Raw genomic sequence first — 24,338 nt, 5'->3', positions numbered from 1 at the left:
GGGTTTTGTCACTGGATGCCTTCTCATTCTACATCTGCATCATGGACAGTTGAGATCGATGATTTTGCCTAAAAATTATAACAACATCATTCTACTTCTGCATCTCCAACCTCAGAGGTGGAGGTAAGGGAAGTTACTCTTCCCTGTTGACCAGCTGTACTTTTCCATTCAGTGAACACATCCTACTCCTTTCTCCTGTGCAGTATAAAGGCCAGTACACAACCTGGAAACCTATGAATGATCCAAGATTTCTCTCTCCCCACTAATGTTTTACATTCAATGTTCACTAAATCATATTAACTGTACCTCTTTTCTGCTTATGCTTTATATTTCTACTGCTACCAAATAAATATGTTTATATTTCCTAGATCAACATGGCCTCTTCATTGATGGTTTTCACAGGAAAAAAAGTCCCTGCCAACTATTACTGTTTTTTTACAAATAAAAAATTAAGTAAAACAAATGAAGAAGGCATAAGGGCAAGAAAAAGACCAACATTTTAAAATGAGTAAATGGAGAAAATTTACTTTATTTTACCATGGATGGGTGAACACCTTACACTAGATTGATAGTAGTTCAAGCATCGAACTACAAGGAAACTACAGCTTTAACTATTGCAAAAGCTTCCTTTCTCTAGCTTACTTTCTTGTACTCAGAATACAATATATAATATATATAACATACCAAATATGTATTTTCATCAGCATGGGCATTGGCAGCACTAAATCCCATGTTGTTCAAGGGCCAACTGTAATTATTGATTCATTTAGTAATTGCAAAGAATTTATTTTACAAATTAAATAGAAGTTCTAATTATATAAAAAGTCTAATTCATTATTATGTGACTATAAAAAAACATGCAATGTAGTAACAAAAATTTGTTTTCTTATTTACACAAAAAGATCATTTAGAATATTAGGAACCATAATTAAATAATAATTTTTTTCAAACAACACTGAGATTATAAACTACCTACAATTAACTTTTTAAATAATTATAAAATCTAGACTACTAAGTATTTTTTAAATGTGTGCAATTTAAACTGATTTTTTTAAACTGCTTTTTTGTAATCAAAACATCTTTATTCTTTTTTATCTATGGTAGTACCATCAAGAGTAATTCACTATCAGAAATCTTACCTGGATTGCCATTTATAGAAAGCTCTTCATATTTCTTTCTTTTGTATTCAGAAATTAGTTTGAAAATGCTATGTATAAAAATAAATGAAATTAATATTTTAATACTATTATCAAAAACATTTACCAAACATACTGAACTATTAGAGTATCTTGAACAATATCAGGATGTTAATTATCCTATACACTTCTCTTCTGTAAGCTCTATAAACTTCTTAGTACCTTTCTAATTAAATAATAAAAACAGGTGAAGTACTCATGAAGTGAAGGCAGTATAGCCCAGCAAACTGTCTCACATCAGCTTGACATAATGGAAAGTCACCTTCCTGGCTCTTACTGGAAGGTCCTGGCTCTATAGCCAAAAGGTATTTCCTCTTAAACAAGTTGCTTCTCTTAGGCACAATGTCTTCTTCTAGATTTTACTATCTTCTTTCACTAGGTTGTTATATAGGTTTAATGAAGTAGCATTTTTAACATTCACAGAGAAATAGTAAAGCAGTGGAATTTGTTCTTGAACTTTATTGCTGAAACTATTTTGAAATCCCAAATCAAACCCAATGTGTATTTTTTCATAGGTTCTAATATTCAAATGCTTCAGTTTAAGAAAAATGTTAAGTCCTAATTTTGCTTATTGTTCTATTATTTGTGGCTTATAATTCAGCGCATCTCAAATATTTCATAATTCACAAATAAATTTATGAATACATTATTTCAGTAAAATAGGTAAGATGATTGTTCACTATTATTGAGCTCATCAATTCCAAGGGCAGAAAACTAACAGATGTCAAGATCTTGCCTGGGCTACCACTATTACTTCTCTACAGACTCTAACTGAACCAGCAGATGTTTGCTAGAATGATGGTTAATCTCCATCAGTGATGTTATCTCCAACTGACATGGAAGACAAAACCCTACTTTCATTTTTTTTAAGTTCTATGAAGTAGATGAAAGTTGACATTTTCTCATTTCCAAGATACATACTAACAAAATATTTACACAACACCCTATGTGTTACTTATCTCCATTCTCAGTTTATAGATCACCTTACACAAATGTTTTTGTAGTGAAAAATCACAATTCAAATATAAGGGGCCACCCATTTTGTTTCTGTTCAAACTGTGACTTAGCTAGCCAGCAAACAGTCAAATGACCTTCCCCTGACTGCAAAATATGAAGTGCTTAACAAAGCTAATTTTCTCCGTATTGTTCCAATTTTAGTATTTGTGCTGCCAAAGCAAGTACAAAGCCTTACTTTTACATATAAATGCTGATAAGTCATGGATGAGGATTAGCTCTGTTAAATCTAACTAACCAACTTGAGACTTAGATAATTCTGATGAATGGCTTCCTCTAAGGTAGAATCTGAAAATATTTTACAAACTTGAGACAGTGATGCAAGCAGCTTGGGAGATCTTCATTATTACAGAAAACAGATCACTTGAGGGGCCAACCACAAGTCGATGCCTCCTACTATAAGGAAGGATGGCATAGAAGTTTTCACTAGCTGAGAAAATTTCTTACACTGTTTATTTAAAAAGTCTCAGGGTACAGATCTGGTAGCAATAAAGAAAAAAACTGTGATCTCTTTCTACAACATTATTTGAATATCTCTGACAGTTTAGAACTATACCAACTAATATTTGAAGAGAAAAAAAAGGGACTCAAAAAATAACTCACCATGAAGTCTAGAAGCCCAGGTTAAAATGTGGGCTTTACATCAGGTTTTGAGTGTGGGTGAAAGTGTCAATTTGCTCAGTATGTATGTTGATAAAGTTAGAATATCCAGCTAACAGAGCAAGGTTCTGCTGTTTTGGAAACAATGGCTGAGCATATAAGTATGTGCAAGTGAACTAAAAAAAAAAAAATTGTAACTTTGAAGCCTTTTTATGGATCAACATGAAGACTGAGGGATCTCAAACAGAAAGGGCATCCTGGTGACAAAGGTTAATCATTACCAGACTGCAAGAGTACTTTCAATGGAAAAAGCAGCAACAGAATCAATGAAAACAAAGCAATGATTAGAATGCCCTTTCCCCTTCTCCTTCTGACTTGTAGACACTGATTGTCTTCCTTGTACTTAGGGAACCTCTTAGGTTCTTGAAAAATTCAATGATCAGGCTATAGTAGATGGTCCCCAGTACACAGCACAAGATTTTTTGATAAACTGCACATTTTGAGACCCAAATAACCAATTAGAAAAATCAAAGATGTGAAACTACTTTATCCTATGCATAGGGGTTATACTGGAAATAAAATGTACAACATTGGAATCCCTAAGGAGAAAAGTCCTAAAAGTTTCAATATCAAGAATCCTGCACCCGCTGCTACTAATCTAGCCTTTTGCTTGATTTCTGGCTGACGAAGTTGCACAACTCTCGAAAAGTTAAAAACTTGAAAATTTGTCACTTGAAAACTACTTGAACCAAACTATGAAATCGCACCTGATATATAAGATGCAATTGTTACAATTATTTTAAACTTCAATTTAGTGTTCACTAGCCTTTTTATGTAAAGACTTACACTCTATTCCCAGCCCCAATGGCATAATCTTCTGCAGTCTGTCCATACACATCTTGAGAAAACACATCAATATTGTGCTTCAGAAGAAGAATGACTATATCTTTTTCTCCAAGAGTAACAGCAAGTATGAGGGCTGATCTAAAATAACCGGGAGGTAATTAAAAACTTTAATGACATTTTAAAAGCTAAGTTTATATACTTTATCAACTTAATATGTTGTCTGTCCATGTAGAATTAACCCAATTACGTGTACTAAGAAACAAGCATCTTGGGTGCCCAAGGGTTTATCTTTGCAAGTTACCATAAAGGTTAAAAGCAAGGAACAAAAAGGAAGCCTCTTGTCCCACTATGGTATGACATAAAGTTGCTAACTTAAAGTCCTTTGATGGGCAAGAAACTGTGCTCAGGCCACCTATCTACAGTAGGCAAATTTAAGTGAAAAATTATTCATTTCTTCCCTAGTCTGATACTATACATTATAATGCCAAATCAGCTAAAGGGTTAGATAAGAGCTATCTGCAGGCTTAAAACAATAATATTAATAGGAATGCTAATAGTAGTAGTCATAGCTTCAGTTAACGATGCTGATAAGCATGTGCTAGGCATTTAATTAAACACTATATATATATAAATATATACATATGGAGGATAATATATCCTTCAAGGGTGGTTGTGTATAAGTAACTTAAGTAACATCATACATATATAATATATTGTATATTATATGTTATCTATAAAATATATAATATACATTATAGATTATATATTATCTATATATAGTATATATTATATACTATATATGATGTTACTTACATTATATTCTTACATACATATGTGTATATATATATTATATATATGCACATAAGCATATGCTCAGCCATTGTTTCCAAAACATCAGCACCTTGCTCTGTTAGCTGGACATTCTAACACTATATATATATATATATATATATATAATGTTACTTACACACAACCATCCTTGAAGGATATATTATTACCCTCCTTTTCACAGAAGAAAACATACTTGGTGATAAGTAATGTTACCAAGGTCACACATCTAGCAAGTGGGAAAGCTAGGGATTAAATCCAGTCCTGTGTGAACCTAAAGCTTGTTTTCATTAAAGTAAAGTTTTATCCATTGAAAGCTATCTTTTCTCCCTCTCCCCATATCAATTAAAAACAACATCAAAACACAGTAGAAATGAAAAACTAACATGAAACCCCTTTCGCTAACATAAAATCATACAATCAAAAGCATCACATTATTACATTATAAATAACACATCATATTACAAATAACAAACATCTATCAATATACAGAGCTTTCTATATATAGAAGCCTTTTATGTGTATAATGTCTATATAGAGAGACAAATCCTGCTATACACTGTTCTTTATGTTACTCAGTCCAAATAATTGTTTTTCTACCTAAGTGATGATCTGTGTTGATATTTCTCACTATATCCCAATAATTAAAAGTTAGTCTTCTTATTAATGTAATATTTGTGACTTGAGTGACTGCTACCACTCTACAATGACACTCAGGTTTAAAAACAATACAATAAGAACTAAGGTCTGTATCTGCTAAGACAATCAATTGCATTTATATTTGCATTTTTGTTTAATAAAACTTCCACCATTATCAGTTTTCTTAGACGCACAGCCAGTAAAAGTGGTTGACATTCAGTCTGTAAAACAACAGCAACAATTTATAATCACATAATTACGTATTTATCAACTGAACTGAAAACCTTATGTAAGATCCTGTGAGCTTAAATATATACAATTGAAAGGACATAAGAGGTAGTCCCTTTCTTTTCACTCCTCGGTGCTTTTCTACGTTCTGCTCCTTCCGCTGGAAACAACCTCCTCTGCCTCACCACAAGAACTCTGGTCATCTCCAAAACTCACTTCAAACACTTCCCAGTTCCAAGAATCTTTGCTTCTGTCACAGCATTTACCATGGCATGTTTCAAGGATTTTATTGTTTCCCACCTGAACCAAGAGCTTCTTGAGGGCAGCAGCTGTATTTTTTTCTCTATGTCCTCAAACTCTAAGACACAGTAATAAATGTTTCAGGTATTTTTATAAATGATCTAAATTATTATCTATAGAGCGGTGTTTCTTAAACTATTAATATATTCCAAAGGATATTTACTTTACCAGAAGTTCAACATTATACCCCAAAAGAAAGACTTCATGATCACCCATGTTTGAAAAATGTTACAAAACTGTGCATTATGTGTCTAGTATTTGAGAAATCTTTTGAACTTCACCTAATCCCTATTTGTAAATACTTATTTTGGAGACTGTTAACATTTAAGAAATGAGAGTTTCAGGGATACAGTTGTGAGAGCTTGCCAGTAAAGGTGATACACACGTGCCTCATTCTCTTCTATTGATGGTGTCAGAATCTCAGATGACAATGTCAGGTGCTCACACCTGACATTGTCATCTGAGATTCTGACACGATTGACAGTTCATTTGAAGCCTCTCTCTTTTTAATTTGAAGAGCCAGGCTCTGAATTAATAGAGATAGGCTTCAAATGAACTTTCACTGCTTATTATTAAATAGTCCATGGGTTTTCTCTAGTAATATTTTTATCTTAGCTGTCAGAAAGCTCTGTATAAAATATTATTCTCAATTACAATCTTAGGACCCTGATGCAAATATTTATGTAATTATAATCTTAGGACCCTGGTATATAACTCCTTTAAAAATTTATTTGTATTCTAGTTTCCATATGAATTCTTACTTTTTTTATTTTAAGTAAAATATAAATCAGAAATAAAAATACAGTGGCTTATCAATTAAAGCTCTAATAATGACCTATATGAATTATTTATAGAATAATGAAAGCCACTAATTTGCATCTTTTATTTATTTATTTATTTATGTATTTATTTATTTATTTATTTGAGACGGAGTCTCGCTCTGTCACCCAGGTTGGAGTGTGGTGGTGCCATCTCAGATCACTGTAGCCTCTGTCTCCCGAATTCAAGCACGAGCAATTCTCCTGCCTCAGCCTCCCGAGTAGCTGGGACTACAGATGTGTGCCACCACACCCAGCTAATTTTCTGTATTTGTAGTAGAGAGGGGGTTTCACCATGTTAGCCAGGATGGTCTCAATCTCCTGACCTCGTGATCCACCCACCTCTGCCTCCCAAAGTGCTACGATTACAGGCATGAGCCACTGCACCCGGCCAATTATTTGCATTTTTAGGAGGCAATGCTGAAGAGAAAAATATAACGTTGTCTGCAATATGCGTAACCTATGCAACTATACCATGATTCACCTTAAAAAGCTTCCATGCATTCTAATGGGAAGATGACTATTTATGGTATATATAAAGAAAAATAATTTATAAAACACCACCATCTAAATTCAAAAGTTCAACCCAATTACCAAGGGATTTATATAAAATATAGACTCCATATTTAAATAAATATAAAATGTCTTGAAAACCTTGAAATATTTACTAAAATATATTATAAAACAGGGCTTGTAAAGTCATCCCTACAGAGGCAAGGGAGATGACCTGAGGAAGTGAAGTACAGTAGCAAAATGTAGACCACATGCCTCATAGAAAGGGGCAACCTCTGCACAGCGTCCTAAACATGAGATAGGCTCAAGGGACACCAGATTGGATTCTTGAAGAGAAGCCTGGAATCCAGATCTGTGCACGAGTCTCCTAAACCTTCCATTGTGAGACAATTTATAGAGGCAAACTAAACACATCTATGAGACACATTTAGACTATAGACCTTGTATTTTTATATTTGCTGTGGATATGTCTCCAAGCGATTCTATATAAAACAAGTATTTTCGTGTAAAATATTTCCTTTCTTTAGTTTCAGATTTTATTTTCCAAAATAGCCTCAAGAATGCAATTAAAATTGTTACTAAGAGTCATAATCCCCACTTTGAGCACTTTTACAACATTCATTAATTCATAATTTATGTTTAATTTTCCCAGATTGTTCACCAAATGGATAATTAGTTCACAGGACTGCTGCAACTAAATTATTAAAATAATATTAAATTATTCTAGTTTCTATATTGTAACCTAATTTTTTTATTTTAGGTAAAATATAAATCAGAAATAAAAATACGATGGCTTACCAATTAAAGCTCTAATAATGACCTAAATGTATTCTCTGTATTCTTACTAACTTCATGGTTTTAAGTGTTTAAAACTGCTATCCTGATTATGCCATAGTTCTGTGTACTTAACTGACATAGTGAGGCAGTCCATAATAGAGCTTCAGCTTTAAAAAAAGGTTTAGAATTTTTTACTCTTGTAATTGAGAGAACCCTTCTTTTAATAATGATGTATTGACCTAATCACCACAATGATAACAAAGAGACTCAGAGTCCTGAAAGAGTCAGTCTCTACTTATTAAAAGAGTCCACAATAGCAAATTTCTAACGACCCTATGAATGGCAGTGCATAAGTGATGGTGGCAAAGAAAAGGTGTTATTCTTACTCTGATAGATATTGCAAGTAATAGTTCTTTTAACTTCCCACCCACAGAGGTAGAGACAGGTAAAAGTCAGGCCATTATTATTGGAAAGGAGAAATTCAAAGGAAGCAGCTCCTATCATCTAACTCTTCTAGAGATTTTTTATGTGTTTGAGATATGGGAATTTATATTACACTTATCTATTCAGTGGTTCTTGACCAGCAGTGTATCAGTGTCTCAAGAAATTGTTTATTGTTGTTGGTGTTGTTGTTGTTGTTAGAGACAGTGTCTTATTCTGTGGCTCTGGCTAGAGGCACCACCATGCCCAGCTTCAAGGAAATATTTTAAAACATACATGTCCAGTAATATTTAATAGTAAATACTAGATTTACTATATTAAAATCTTCAGGGGATATCCTAGACTTAAGAGATTTGCTTTTAATTTCCCCAGGTTACTGCCATGCACAATTCTAACTGCGAACCAGCACAGTTGATAATCACTTCAGTCTCATCTCTCACCCATGTGGCAAATTCCCTTTATCATTTGGGATTTGGCCGAAAAGAGGAAAGAGCAAAAGATAGAGCCATTCACTGAAAATTTCATTTACTTTTCCTGGGTAGGGGTAGAAAAGAGACCAGTAAACTCAAAATCCAACTTGATTTTACTATTTATAAGCTCCTTATCTCCCACCTGCCCATCAAGACATTCTGGACTTGAGAGTAGAGTTTAGATGCTTATCTAAGTGGCTTTTTCTGCCAGAATTGAATAATGTCCATTAATTATGTGTTCTTCTCTCTGCTGAACTGTGTGCCACATCATCACCACTATTCACTGCCAACCTGGTTTCCTCAGAGTCCTACCAAAATTGATCCCTGGGCAATTTTACAACTCACAAACTCTTTCCCAAAGTAAGAATAATCATCCCCAAAACTGAAACGATCCTTGTCTAAACATATAAATTGAAAACAAACAACAAAACACACAAAAACCCTCTCCACAGTATTTTCCCTCATTACCTAATTTCCAAATTAGCTTGTGCATTTCTGATTGCTCTCCTTTTCTTCATATTTCCCCCTTAAGCCTTTCCACAGAGGAATCACTTTCAAATGAAATCACCTTCACATACAATATTTGTCAACAGCAACAAGATGTACATTTATTGTGAAATTCTTTAATTTTCTTTGAAATTTAAAATAAAGCCTATTTATAAGGGCCAATTTTACTTTCCTGTGTCACTTCACACTGATTAGAAAAAAGTAATTTAGTGGAAAAACACTTCACTATTACCCCTCCCAAATTCAGTTGTCATGAATTATAAATTTATTGTAACTCATTTGTTTTTATAATTATTTACCATAAGTGCATGAAAAAAAGCCATACCTTATAATGCTTCTTTAAAAGTTCCAATATTTAAAGTAAAATCTTTGACAGTTAAGGCATTTCAAAATATTTTCATTCAAGGAATGTTTGAGTTTCCAAATATGAAAAATTGACCCTTACATGGGTCAATGTTAAAATAAATGCATTTCACATAGTTTGATAATAACATTGGTTGACCCATACCTTGCTGCATTCTTCAATATTTGTACCATGTAAAAGAAGTTTTTCTATCATGGATGTATCTTCATTATACACAGCATAGTGTAGAGCAGTCCTTCCAAAGAAATCCATAATATTTGGATCGGCGCCATTTGGCAGCAGAATAGTTGCAAAAGCCTCCTGCCCTAGTTGTACAGCCTGTCAGTATTAGACTGAGAAACACGCAAATACTGAAAAATCAAAATAAACACTCCGTAGGATTTACTAACTAGTTATATAGTGGTATTCCAATGAGATAAATTCATTTTATCCTACATATTTAAACCAAATCCATCTCATGCTCAAAGATTCAACTACTATATACCTTGATTAGAGGTGTCCTGCATTCACGGTCGCAGAGGTTAAGCTCACATCTTGTGGACACAAGCAGAAATACCATTTCTGGTTGGACAGTGGCACAGGCCAAATGTAGGGCAGTCCTGTGAGAGTGACAGGACTTTTTAAACCATGTAACTGTAAGCATTAATTAGCATGTTATTTCTCTGTCTTCAACACAAATATGTAATTTTCTTGTGAAGAAGGTACAACATTTGTTAGCACTTATTACTCGCCACATTAATGAAAGAGCAGGCTATTTAATAGAAAAGGCTTGGCTTCTGGATTCAGTTTAATTGGGGCTTAAAATTTACTGTAATCTCTGTCACTTAGTTGTTATTTAGCCTTTCTTTGCTTCAATTTCCTTATCAATAAAATATATGAGAATAGTAGCTATCCCACAGAACACTGCTGTGATGCTTACATAACAATCTATGCACAGCATTTAGAACACTTTCTAACACAAATAACAGCTCAATAATTTTTAGATATTACTACTTACAAAGACATTTTAATTAAGTAAAATGATACAATCATATCTACATTGAGGTATCTATTAAAGATTAGATGTATCATTGTATTTCAGTCATTCTCAGATGCTCATATTCTCACTATTCTCTTATATAAGCTACTATTCTCTTATATATTAACATCTCTTGACATTGGAATACTGTTTACAATTCATTACTTATTACAATTATAACTGGCAATGTTTTAAACATTATCTTATCGATATATAAAGTAATGTGGCATCACCTAATCCATGATGCCTCACATTAAGTGGGATACAGTACATAGAACAGGCAGTTCTACTCATATAATTTGCACCTAAATAAAGTACTGTGGAAAAAGAAGGCAAAAATAAAAAAACAAATTTTTAAAACAAAGTACTTCTTACTTCAATTTTCCAAAAAAAAAAAAATCCAAAGGAAACTCAGGATTCATATGAATAGGTATCGCTCATTTTTTTCAATACTTACAGAATGTTATGTAAATTAGGTATTTGCAATGATTAATAGTAGTATTTGAGATGGTCATAAGTTTTTGAAATGGCAGTTAAAGGTTATCTTTCACTATTTTCTAACTTCAGAATTGCTTTTATTTAAAAAAAAAAGGAATAAAAGACCCAATTAGGATTCAGTCGTAATGCTTCCATTTTAAATCTCAACTTGCTCAGGCTGGGCAGGTAAACATGAAGTTGTTAAGGGTGGAAGAGTCCTGAGAGATGGTGGAATGTGTCTGCTACATAATAGGTATTCAGGTTATGCTTGACAAATAACTGGATTGAAAGAATGCATACATACAGTTGGGGAGTTTATTACGAAAAAAACTACAAATTAAAGCAGTGCTCTTGGAATAGTGATAATCACTTATATTTGCTCGTTTTCATTTTCATGAGGACACTGATAAACTAAAATAATTAAAAATTGTTTGCATATATGTAATAAAGCTATAATAAAAACCTATTTATATACTAAAATCTATGCATAATAAAATAAGCACAAATAAAAATATTCCCTCTGCCTCTGAAGAGGCTAAAAGTTCACAGAAGATACCAATAAACAAAATAATAAAAATAAGGCCAGGCACAGTGGCTCACACCTGTAATACCAGAACTTTGGGAGGCCCAGGCGGGGGAATCACCTGAGGTCAGGAGTTTGAGACCAGCCTGGCCAACATGCTGAAACCCAGTCTTTACTAAAATATACAAAAATTAGCTGGACATGGTGATGCACACCTGTAATCCCAGCTACTCAGGAGGCTGAGGTGGGAGAGTCACTTGAACCTGAGAGGCAGACTGCAGTGAGCTGAGATCATGCCACTGCACTCCAGGCTGGGCGACAGGGCGAGACTCCATCTCAAAAATAAACAAACAAACAAAGAAATAAATAATAAAATAAAATAGAAAGTGAGAATTATTTTTTCTTTGTAAGATTTATATTTCTTCTTTTCCCAATGATAATTTCATTAATAAAACACATGTACTAGAAGTTTTAAACATACTGATCATTTATACATCACAGATAAGAAAAAATATCACAATACACCTGCCAGAAAAGAAATGTTATATTTTGTACACATACTTGGCTTATAAACACCATAGACTGTTTGTGTGCATGTATAATCAAACCAACTTTTTTTCAGAGTACATCTTCACACCTCAACATACATCTGTATCTACTGACATCTGTGAAGGTCCCATATTGTCCCATTGTATGGATGCACCGAAATTTATTGATAAATTTATAAAATTTATAAAATCCATTATAAGGGGTTTTCCAAATACACTGCTATTTTAAGCAGTGCTGAGAAAAACAAATTGCATGTATCTCTATTTCCCAGAGATATTTTAGTATAATGGAATTGATGGGTGAAGGGCACATACATTTTTAAAGTGTGATACTTACCAACAAATTGTCTATTTGAAAAATCATCAGAAATGTAAACTTTAAACAGCAGTATATGTACTGCTACTCTTTACCCTCACAAACTTGTGGATAGAAAAGAGTATTTCATTCCTTTTTTAACTTAAATACCTTCTCCTCCCAGGAACACTAAATATTTTTTCCCATGTGTATAGGTTGCTTTAATATCTGAAAAAAAAATGCTTTGCTCTATTTTAAATGAGAGTTCTTGTTTATTTGAAGAATTATCTGTAAAATGAAAATCACTTTTTTATCTAATATGTATATACACGTATTGTCTTTTGTTAATTTTTTCTTATAAACTGGATTTTTTTTTTATTTTGCTAAATCGACCTTCAGAATGTCTGCTTGTGATATTTGTAGGAATATAAACATGTATCAACATAAGTAGGCATTTGTGTTTTTTTCTGTTATCTTTCTTATTTTGTGTATTTAAAATTTTTAATCTACATTCCATAACGAACTTATTTCTGTGACATAAAAATCTAGCCAGATTTCTCCAAATAGTTAGCAGGCACTTCATTTATGAGTAATTCATCTTTTCCTACTAATATGAAATGTCACCATTATCCAATTTTATTAGATTGGTGCAAAAGCAATTGCGGTTTTTGCCATTACTTGTACTTGCGGCAAAAACCGCAATTGTTTTTGCACAAAGCTAATAAATTCTTACACATATTGGTGTGTTCCTGGATTTTCTAACCTGTTCCATTCACTTATTTGTTGTTTCAGCTGTTAGCAAATAACTTGTGAAAATTAACAGCACATTTTCATATCTAGAAAGGCAAGCCTTTTTTGACTCCATTTCAAAAGTGTTGTTAATGTCATCACAATAGTAAAAGACAGCATGAGTAATTCAAAAATGTTAACACTTTGATAACTTTATTTGGATTATGTAAAATTTATAAACACAGAAAGAGCTCAGAACTTTAGAAAAATGTGTCTTTCTATTCAAGAACACAATCTTCCCACTTCAAAGTTTCCCTCTAAGTGAAAACCACATTGACATAGGTGTCCACCGATATCAAATAAATATTGGATTTTTATCCAAAGAATTTTTAGTCAGGAAGTTGATATATTATGGAAATGCTTTCTGTCATTATGCACTTTTCCATAATGTATGTAACATTATGCTTTAAAATGTGTACATTAAAAATAAAACGCTGTACATGCTGAATTGTATTAGTGAAATCACTTTAAAATGATTTATAAACAAGAAGCATGGTGAGTGATTGGAAACAAGCTGAAGTTTTGTTTTTGTTTTGCTGCTCGTGAAAATGGCCTGGGTGCTCGCCCCCCCCCAAGGTTTCCACATCCCAGGTGCGGCTGAGCTTGCCAGGAAAGAAAGTCCAGCCCCTTTGGTGACAAGACTCGGCCCCCTCACCTCTGCACCCCTTTCCCCCACCCCATTCACCCCCACACCTCACCCCCACCTCCAATCCTCTGTCCTATTGAACCCTCACCCCATCTCCCCACCCCACACCGTCCACACCCCTACCTCAAAAGCCTTCATTCCATCCACCTCAGCCCATTCACACCCCCACCCCATGCACCCCCTACTCCCCACTGCCATCCCCCAACTCACTCCACACCCCGCCAACCCCTATACCCCCACTCCCCGGGCTCCGCTCCACTCACTCCCACCCCAGCCAGGCACCTCCTAGCCCCTGTCCATACCCCGAGCCCCGGACCATCCGCCCCACAGCCCTCAGCCTGGAAGGGGGTACTTCTCCACATCCACGGGCCTCTTCCCGCAGCCCCGGCTCCCGGCCCCCATTACCTTCCCTTCTTGTCTCTCTTATTGGCATCATGATACGTCGACAGAAGGTAGTTCAGTTTCTGCAGACTACCATAGAGGACAGCTCTGTGGATCCTCCTCAGATGAGACAATTTAATGTGGTATTGGTGAAATGGTATTGGTGAAGTCTACCACTCCAGCTCGTAGACTTCCATAATCGTCGCTGCAAATTGTAGCCTGGGAACGCTCCAGCCGTATTTCTCAGCTCGCCTTCTGGGGATCACCGCCTCTGAAGCACAACAAGCAATGCAGTCTGTCCACGGACCTTCGCACAGACTCTCAGCGCCTCCCGCCTCTCAGCAGAAACGCCCAAGAGAACCATTAGGACCAGCGAGCACGTGCACCATAACGGCCCCGCCCAACAGGCCCGAGGGGGAGAAACCACCGTAGCAGCTCTCTGGCGCGCCCAGTGCAGGCGGCGGTTGCTGCTCAGGTGCCCTGGGCTGGCAGGGCTGCCTGGAGCGCGAGGCGTGCCCTGCCCCAAGGCCTGTTTGACTGTCGCCCGCGCGCTCTTTTCTTCCACCGGCTCCCAACGCTCGGATCTTTCTGACCAGCCCCGGCCCCATCTTGGCCTTACCTGGCCTCCCCTGAAGCCCTGGCCTGGGTGCAGGGCCTGCTGGGTCCAGAGCCCACCCCGCCCTGAACAACCCCCAGCCTCAGCCACCCTCAGTTCTTACCCTTTCACAGCTGGGGAGTGGAACCTGAGCCTGAGGTCTTCTGTGCGCCTGTCCGCCGCGCCAGCGCTGTCTGAGCTGTCGCTGTCGGCGCCTGCGCTGTCTGCCTTTGCGAGGGCGGAGCTGAGTTATCCTCAGCACAGACCCCGAGAGCACCGCGAGGGTGGAGCTGAGTTCTCCTCTGCACAGACTTCGGAGATACAGGGAAGGCAGAGCAGTGTTCTCCTCAGCACGGACCCGGTCGGGCGGGCCGGTGGCACCCCGAGGGCGGAGCTGCGTTCTGCTCAGCACAGACCTTGGGGGCACTGCCGCGCTTTGGGACAACTCGGGGCCGCATCAACGGTGAGTAAAATACTTCCTGTTTGCAGCTCTGAGGTGGGTGGCAGCGGTGGACGCTGCAGCCAGCCAGAGTGTAGAAAGGCGTCAGGGTAAGTGCGCTTTCCAGGCTGCACTGCGGGTGGCCTGGGACGGGTTGGGGGCCCTATCTCAGGCGTCACTGCCCGCCTTGGGTGGCTGGTTGGGTGTGCTATCTGGGGCTGTGCTGCCTGCCCCCGGGGGGTGCTTTGGGGGCCCAAACCGGGGCTGCACTGGCCTTGGCGGGGAGCCGGTTGGGGGCACTATCCCAGACTGTATTGCTGGCAACAGTGAGGTGGGCTAAGTGTGCTATCCGGGGCTGCACTGCGCGGCTGTTGGAGGGGGGGTGGCGGTTTCGAGTTGAGGGCGCTATGGGGTGCTGTAATGCCCATGGTGCGGGGAGGCGGGGCGGTTTGGGTGTGTTGGGTGTGCTATTGCGGGGGGCGACACTGCTGGTGGTAGGGGGCAGGGTGGGTTGGGGGCCATATCAGGGGCTGCACTGATTGCTTTAGCTAGGATTTCTGGTACTATGTTAAACAACAGTGGTGACAGGGGGCATCCTTATTATGTTCCAGATCTTAGAGGAAAAGCTTTCCATTTTTACCGACTCCATATGCTTCTAGCTGTGGGTGTCTTTCCTGTAGCTTTTATTATGTTGCGGTATGTTCCTTCTGTACCCGTTTCTTTGAGGATTTATAGCATGAAGCCATGTTGAATTTCATCAAATGCTTTTTCAGTTTCAGTTGACATGATCATACTGTTTTTGTCGTTTATTTGGTTGATATGATGTATCACATTGTATGTTGAGTGACCCTTGCATCCCAGGGATACATTCCACTTGATCATGATGAATTATCTTTTTAATGTATTACTGAATTGGATTCGCTGGTATTTTGTTGAGGATTTTCGCATCAATATTAGAGATACTAGCCTGTAGTTTCCTTCTTTGATGCCTTTGTCTGATTTTGGTATCACAGTAATAATGGTCTCATAGAAAAAGTTTGGAAGTATTCCCTCCTGTTTTCCTTTTTTTTTTTTTTTTTTTTTTTTTTTTGAGACGGAGTCTCGCTGTCGCCCAGGCTGGAGTGCAGTGGCGCGATCTCGGCTCACTGCAGGCTCCGCCCCCTGGGGTTCACGCCATTCTCCTGCCTCAGCCTCCCGAGTAGCTGGGACTACAGGCGCCCGCCACCTCGCCCGGCTAATTTTTTGTATTTTTAGTAGAGACGGGGTTTCACCGTGTTAGCCAGGATGGTCTCGATCTCCTGACCTCGTGATCCGCCCGCCTCGGCCTCCCAAAGTGCTGGGATTACAGGCGTGAGCCACCGCGCCCGGCCCCCTCCTGTTTTTCAAAATAGTTTGAGTAGGATTTGTACTAGGTCTTTAAATTGTTTTGTGTGAAGCCATCAGCAGTGAAGACATGAGTTCCTGGGCTTTTCTTTACTGGGAGACTTTTTCTGATGGCTTCAATCTCATTTCTTGTTACCAATCTGTTCTGGTCTTGGATGTTTTCATTGTTCAACCTAAGTAGGCTGTATGCATGTAGGAATTTGCCAGTTTCTACTAGGCTTTCCGATTTATTGGCATATAATAGCCAGTTATGATCCTTTGAATTTCTGAAGTATTAGTTGTAATGTCTCCTTTTTTTAATCTGTTGATTTTATTTATTTTAATCTTGTCTCTTTTTTCTTAGTTAGCTTGGTTAAAAGTTTGTCAATTTTGTTTAGCTTTCCAGAAAACCAACTTTTCATTTAATCTTGTGTGTTTTTTTTTTTCAATGTTATTTCTGCTACGATCTTATTCATTTTCTTATTTTCGGTTTAGTTAGTTCTTACTTTACTAGTTCTTTAAGATGTATTGTTTATTTGAAGTTTTTCTTTTGTTTGGATGGTAGGCACTTACAGCTGTAAATCTCTGCCTTTGTACTGCTGTCTGTGTAACAAGTTTCGGTATACTGTGTTTTCATTACCCTTTGTTTCATGAAATGTTTGAATTTCTGTCTTAGTATCTTCATTGACCCGCTAGTCATTTATTCAGGAGGATAGTGTTTAACTTCCATGTGATTGTATTGTTTCCAGAATTACTCTTCTTATTGATACCTAGTTTTATTCCTTTGTAGTCAAAGAAGATGGCCACGGAGACAGCAGCGTGGTCAGAGTGGTAGGAGCAGACCATTGGAGAGAGCTGCTCCGTGCCTGGCTGCCGGGTGCTAGAGCCTGCAACCCACTGGCTTGCCTCACTGTGGTTGGTGGTGGCGGTGACAGAGACTGCAGCACGACCAGAGTGGTAGGACGGGCTAACCAGGGCTGCACCTTTCGCAGTGTGGGGTGGGTTGGGGGCGCTATCCAGGGTGTCATTGCCTACATTAGGGGTACTGGTTGGTAGCACTGTACAGGGCTGCACTGCCCATGGCAGGGAGGGTGGGTTATGGGCACTTTCTGGGGCTGCAATGCCCATGGAGGAGGACAGGTTAGGGCACTATTGGGTATACACTACTGGCTGCATTGGGGGACGGACGTGGGGGAAGCTATTGAGGGCAGGACTAGCCGTGGATGGGGGGCGAGTTCAGTGCTATCAGGGGCTGCACTTCTGGCGGCAGTCAGCAGAGTTGGCATCCAAGGAAGGAGTGGTTCTCCTCTCCCTGACTCCACACTCCAGAGGGCGACCCACTCTTGGTCATACTGGAGTGCGGCAGGCACGCAGCGTTTGCATGGAATCCTGAGCACGGCAGAGCCCCCACACCCACCGTGGTTCCTGGGCCTGTGCGCTCTGGGTCTGTGCCTTGGAGGCTGCCAGGCACCCCTGGGGACACCACTGGGGACAGGGCCCTGTGTGTGGAGGCGTCCGGAACAGGAATTGGCACCTGGGTGCAGAGGGCTGGCTGGGTCTGAATTTTTCTGCTTCTCCTGCTCCCCGAGGAGTGCAGCCCCAGTGGGCCCAATGGCTCCTGTGGAGTGGGGAGCTGGGTGCTGTGGTGTCTCCAGCACCCACCCCAGACCCCAGTTCCTGGCCAGCTTGGGCCAAAAGGAGAGGCTGGACATTGGAGGGTAGGTGTGAGTGCCTTTGCTGAAACTGAAACTGGCCCCTGCCACCCAGTGGCCGGCATGACAAGTTGAGGCTCTAACCCTTCCACCCCTCACATCTTCCTCTAGGCTTTTCTGGCTTTGCCCGCCCAGCTGCTCCATGCCAGGAGGAGGAGGAGACACCTATAGCCTGTGACACCACGACTTGCCTTGCCGCGGGTGGGTGGTAGCAATGGAGACTGCAGTGCGCCAGAGCGGTAGGAGAGCGGCCACGCTAGGAGGGCAGGTGCCTGCAGCCAGGGTTGGGGGTCAGGCTTACAGCGATGGATGGGCTGCACCAGTAGCCAGGTGGTAGGAGCCTTGTAGGGAGGGCTGGTCCTTTGGCAGTGGGCCTGGCTTTGCCCTGCCCCTGCCATGGATCTGGCCCTATACTGCCCTGCCTTGCCCTGTACTTGCCCTACTGTTACCTGGACTCTCAGCCCCGTCCTGCTCTGGTCCCATCCTGACCCTGTCTTGGCCCTGTGCTACCCTGTCCCTGCCCTGGTCTTGCCCTGGCACTGGCCCTTCCCTGAACCTGCACTGGCCTGACCTTGACTCTGGCCCTGGCTCTGGCCCTGCCCCTTGTCCTGACCCTGGTCCTGTCATGGCACTGGCCCTGCCAATTGTCATGGTCCCGCTCCTGTTCTGACCCTGACCTGGCCTTGGACATGTCCTGGACCTGCTTTGGCCCATCCCTGGCCTGGCCCCACCATGGGCCTGCCTGTTCTGCCCTCTCCTGGCACTGACCTTGCCCTGTCATGGCCCAGTGGTGCCATTGCTCTGCCTTACCGTGCGCTGGTTGTGCCTTGGCCCCTCTTGGTGCTGGTCACTCCCTGGACCTGCCCTGACCCTACCTGGGCTTTTGCCCTGCCCTCACTATGGCCTGGCCCTGGCCCTAGCCCTGGTCCTGCCATATCCCTGGCCGTGCTCTTATCCAGGCCCTGCCCCTTCTGCTGCCCTGGCCCTGGCCTGGAACCTGGTCCTGTCAAGGACCTGCCCTGACTCTGCCATGGCCCTGGCCCTGCTCTGCCTTGTTCCTAGCCCTGACCCAGACCCAGACCCTATCCTGGCTCTGCACTGGCCTTTTCCTGGCCCTGAGCTGGCAGTGGTCTGCCCCTGGTCTTGCCATCACCCTGCCTGCTGTGCTCTGGATGTGTCGTCACCCTGCCCTGGCCCTACTCTGCCTTTGACCCTGCCCTGGCCTTACCTTGGCCCTCACCCTAGTCTTCACTAGGCCCTGCTCTGGAGCTGGCCCTAGCACAGACCTGGCCCTGACCCTGGCCCTGGTCTTTGTCCTGCCATAGCCCTGGCCCTGAAGTGGACTTGGAGGTGTCCTGGCCCTGGTGTAACATGGCTCTGCATTGGCCTGTCCCTGCCCTGCCCCTACCATCGCCTTGCCCTGCTCTGCCCTGTCCCAGTACTGACCCAGCCATGCTATTTCCCTGCCCTACCCTGCCTTGGCTGTTCCCTGGCTCGGTTCTGGCCCTGGCCCCGACCCTTCCCCGGATATGCTCTGACACTGCCTCAGCCTTGGCACTAGCCTGGCTCTTTCTTGGCATCAGCCCTGCTCTCTCTGTGGACCGGCTCTTGTCCTGTCCTGCACTGGCCATACCATGTCCTGCCCTGCCCTGCCCTGACTCAGCCCTGGTTCAGCCCTGGCCCAGCCTTGGCCTTGGCATTGCCCCTGGTCCTGCCATATTTCTTGCCCTGTCCCTACCCTGGTCTTGGCCCTGACCCTTACCTTGCTCTGGCCCTGCCCTTGCCCTAACACAGCCCCTGGCCCTGTCATGGCCCTGCCCTGGACCTGTCCTGGTCCTGGCCCTTCCCTGCTTGAGACCTTGCCCTGGTTCTCCCCTGGCCCTGACCCTGAAATGCCTGGCCCTACCCTGGCCTTGCACTGCTCTGGTCCTTGCCCTGACTCTGGTCCTGTCACTGGCCTAGCACCAGCCCTGTTGCTGGTCTTACCATGGCCATGACCCTGCCTTGGCCCTGTCTTGACACTGTCCTGGATCCTGGCTGTGCCAAGATCCTGCACTGTCCTTGCCGTTGTTTTGCTCCTGTCCCAAACCTGGTCCTGCCCAGGCCCTGGCCCTGGCTCTGGCCCTGGCCCTGCCCTGGCTGTTCCCTGGCCCTGCCCAGGTCTTGGCACTGGCCTGGCCCTGCCCTGCCTTGGCCCTATGCTTTCCTGGCCCTGCCTTGCCGGCCCTGGCCCTGCCTTGGCCCTAGCCTGGCTTTGACCCTGCCCTGGCCCTACCTTGGCCTTCACCCTAGCCTTACCTGGGCACTGTGTTGGACCTGGCCATAGCACAGACCTGGTTGTGGCCCTGGCCCTGCCATGGCCCTGTCCCAGACCCTAGCCCTGCCAGGTACCTGCCCTGGCCCTGCTCTGGGCCTGGCTTTGTCCCTGGTTCTTAGATGAACCTGGCCCTGCCCCTGCCCTTGTCCTTGCCCTGGCACTGGCCTTGGACATGTCCGTGGTCCTAACCCTGGCCCTGCCCTGGAGCTGCCACTGTCTTGGCCCTGCCCTGGCTCTGGCCCTGCCCCAGCCCTGGCCCTGCCCCAGCCCCAGCCATAGACCTGCCCTGGTTGGTTGTGTCCTACCTTAACCCTGTGCTACCCTGGGCCTGCTCCACCCTGCCCTGGCCCTGCCCTCCCTTTGGCCCTGCCCTCCCTTTGGCCCTGCCCTGACCCCACCTTGGCCCTCACACTGGCCCTAGCACAGACCTGGTCCTATCTGTGGCATTGGCCTGGCATTGAGCCCTGCTCCTGACCCTGCTCCTGCCATGGCCCTGGCCCTGCCAATGACCCCGACAGCGCTGGCCCTGGACCTGTCTTGGTCCTGGCCCTGAACTGGCCCTGCCCTGACCCTGGCCCTGAAGTGGATTTGCAGGTGTCTTGTCCCTGATTTAACCTGGCCCTACCATGGCCCTGTCCTGACCCTGTCCTGGCCCTAATGTGGCCTGGCTCTACCCTGGCATGCTATTCAGGCCCTAGCCCTGACCCTGTCCCTGTCCCTGTCCCTGTCCTGGCCCTAGCCCCGTTGCTGGTCCTGCCATGGCCCTTGTCCTGACATTGCCCTTTCCTGGTCCTGGCCCTGGCCCTGTCCCAGCCCTGCTCTGGCTCTGGTCTGAACCCTGGCCCTGCAATAGACCTGCCTTGGTCCTGCCCACACCCTGGCTCTGGCCCTACCTCTGCCCTGGCCATACCCTTGCCCTGGCCTGGACCCCGGTCCTGGTCCTCGTCCTGCCCCAGCTGTGGCCCTGGTGCTGCCCTGCCTGTACCCTGTTCTATCCTGGGCTGGCCCTGCCATGGCCTGGTCTTGCCATTGCCCTGCCCTAGCCTGCCCTGCTTGTGCCCTAGATCTGCCCTGACCTTTGCGCCTGTCTTGGTTCTAGCCTTGAAAACAAAAAAAAAAGGAAAAGAAGCATTTTGTATTCTCTTTTAGAAAGGGTAGATAACTGGAAAAGTATTAATAATGAAAATAACCGGAAATTGGACTTATAAATTATAAACCATGTAATTATTAGTATTTGAAAATATACTCAAATGTTTCTCAGGTGTTACTCAGGTGTTTCTTTATAGCAACACAAGAATAGCCTAATATAGTAACCATCACCCAATCAAGAAATAGGACATCTTTGCCTCCTTTGGAAGTTCTACCCACCACCCCTTCATCCTCCCCCAGGCTACCACTGTTATAATTTCTATCATTCTAGAATTAGTTTTGGCTGTATTTTTCTTTTTTTTTTCAAGAAATATTAACTGTTCTTAATTTGATATTATATATAAGCCATACAAAATGCCTTTTGAGAAGTTAAAAGAACCATTATATTTTGAGATGGGGTCTTACTCTGTCACACAGGCTGGGGTGCAATGGCAGGATCATGGCTCACTGCAACCTTGACTCCTGGGCTCAAGCCGTCCTTCCACCTCAGCCTCCTGAGTAGCTACGACTACAGGAATGCACCACCATGCCTGGCTATTTTTAATTTTTGTACAGATGAGGTCTCTCTATGTGGTCCAACTTGTGGCCTCAAGCAATCCTCCCACTTCAGCCCCAAAAAAGTACTGCGATTACAGGCATGAGCCACTATGCCCAGCCAAGGAACCATTTTACATACAGAGAATTCTAATTAAATTGACATAGTTCAGACCAGAAATATAAAGTAGACATTGTTACCTTATGTTAAGTCTTTGCCTTTAAGAGGCACATGAACACAGAACACAGATGTGTCTTGCTTGGTTCTGAGACAGTGAAGACATTTCCCCAGTATTTAAATATATTCATATAGCTAGTTATATAAATCTAAATATAAAGCCAATCTCTAATAGGTTTTAAGATGGCATTCACCATCTTTGTGAAAAGTTGAACACTACGAGTTAAGCCCAATCATAGTTTTAGAAGGGGGAAACAGTGATATCATTTACTGAATCAGAATTACTATTAAAATTTTAAAAAACCCGGATGTATTCATTTAACCACAAGCGAGTCTTAATTAAATCAGGACTGCTCAACAAAAATATTCTGTGAGTTATTCATGATTTGAATTCTGATGTATATTAGAGAGCTATTAAATTATGTACACATAAAAAAGTCATGTGGTCAATTATTACTCATTATTAGCTTTTCTGAGATAAGCTATCAAGTCTGCCCTTTCTGCCTTCTTCTTAGTGCTGGCAATGGTCATTTTTGTTCCAGGGATGTACTTTTTGGGATTCTGCAAATACTCCATCAGTGTCTCCTCTCCTCAGGTGATGCCTCTGTTCTCATTGGTGTCTGTGAGAGAATTCAGTGGCCTGACCTGTCTTCTGCATAAATAGAGCATGGAGATTTGGCTCACTCTTGTGCTTGCCTCATTTTACCTTGGTGTGGCATTGGGCACACTTTTTTTTTTTTTTAAGACAAGTTCTGTCTCCATCATCCATGCTGGAGTGCAGTGGCACAATCTTGGCTCACTGCAACCTCTGCCTCCTGGGCTCAAGCCATCCTCCCACCTCAGCCAGCCGAGTAGCTGGGACTACAGGCATGCACCACCATGCCCAGCTAATTTTTGTATTTTTATCGAGACAAGGTTTCACCATGTTGCCCAGGCTGGTCATGAACTCCTGCACCCAATTAATCTGCCCACCTCGCCTCCCAAAGTGCTGGGACTACAGGCGTAAACTACCATGCCCGGCCTTGGACACACTTCTGAACAAAACTCTTCTTGCCTTTCTCTACATCACCCATATTTAATTCTGTCTCTCATCACTGGTACTACGAACTTCCTGTTCAGAAGGCAGATATCCCACTCTTCCAGTTTTAGCTGTTTTAAAAGGAATATAGAATATGTACCTTTTAAAGTTTGGTTTCTTCAACTGAACATAACGTTTTTGAAATTCACTCATTTTTCACGTATCCATAGTTTATTGTTTTTTGTGGCTGAGTAGTATTCCATTGTGTGAGTATTCCAAAATTAGTTTATTCTTCTGATTATTGACATTTGAGTTATTTCCTTTTTTTGCTATTATGAATAAAGATGATAAAGATGCTATGAGTAGTCTACACATCTTTTTGTAGACATAATTATTTTTATTTCTCTTGGGTAAATACCTGAGAATGAAATTCTGGGTAATAGAGTATATAATTTTTTTTTTTTTTGAGATGGAGTCTCGCTCTGTCACTAGGCTGGAGTGCAGTGGCATGATCTCGGCTCACTGCAACCTCCGCCTCCCGGGTTCAAGCGATTCTCCTGCCTCAGCCTTCCTAGTAGCTGGGATTACAGGCGCCTGCCACCACACCCAACTAATTTTTTGTACTTTTAGTAGAGGCAAGGTTTCACTATGCTGGCCAGGCTGGTCTCGAACTACTGACCTCAGGTGATCCACCTGCCTCAGCCTCCTAAACTGTTGGAATTACAGGCGTCAGCTATCGTGCCCTGCTGAAAATATAAAATTTTAGCTTTATTAAGCAACTTGCTGTTTTCTGATGTGGTTGTACCATTTTATACT

The 24,338-nt window shown here is 42.0% G+C and overlaps 1 long non-coding RNA gene and 2 pseudogenes across 1 annotated transcript; 1 reads left to right on the top strand and 2 right to left on the bottom strand.

The window, feature by feature from the left end:
• On the bottom strand, positions 9,257-14,801 carry ANKRD36P1 (ankyrin repeat domain 36 pseudogene 1; annotated as a pseudogene).
• LOC105377244 (uncharacterized) lies at positions 15,046-23,040 on the top strand. The gene is made up of 3 exons (XR_938675.3): positions 15,046-15,276; positions 17,405-17,571; positions 18,438-23,040. It is a non-coding gene; the product is annotated as an uncharacterized LOC105377244 (long non-coding RNA).
• On the bottom strand, positions 22,958-23,234 carry CYCSP48 (CYCS pseudogene 48; annotated as a pseudogene).

Source organism: Homo sapiens, chromosome Y, assembly GCF_000001405.40.
Source record: "Homo sapiens chromosome Y, GRCh38.p14 Primary Assembly".
NCBI lineage: Eukaryota > Metazoa > Chordata > Mammalia > Primates > Hominidae > Homo > Homo sapiens.
The sequence above is the reverse complement of the archived record's forward strand: the minus strand, read 5'-3'. Positions and strand labels throughout refer to the sequence as shown.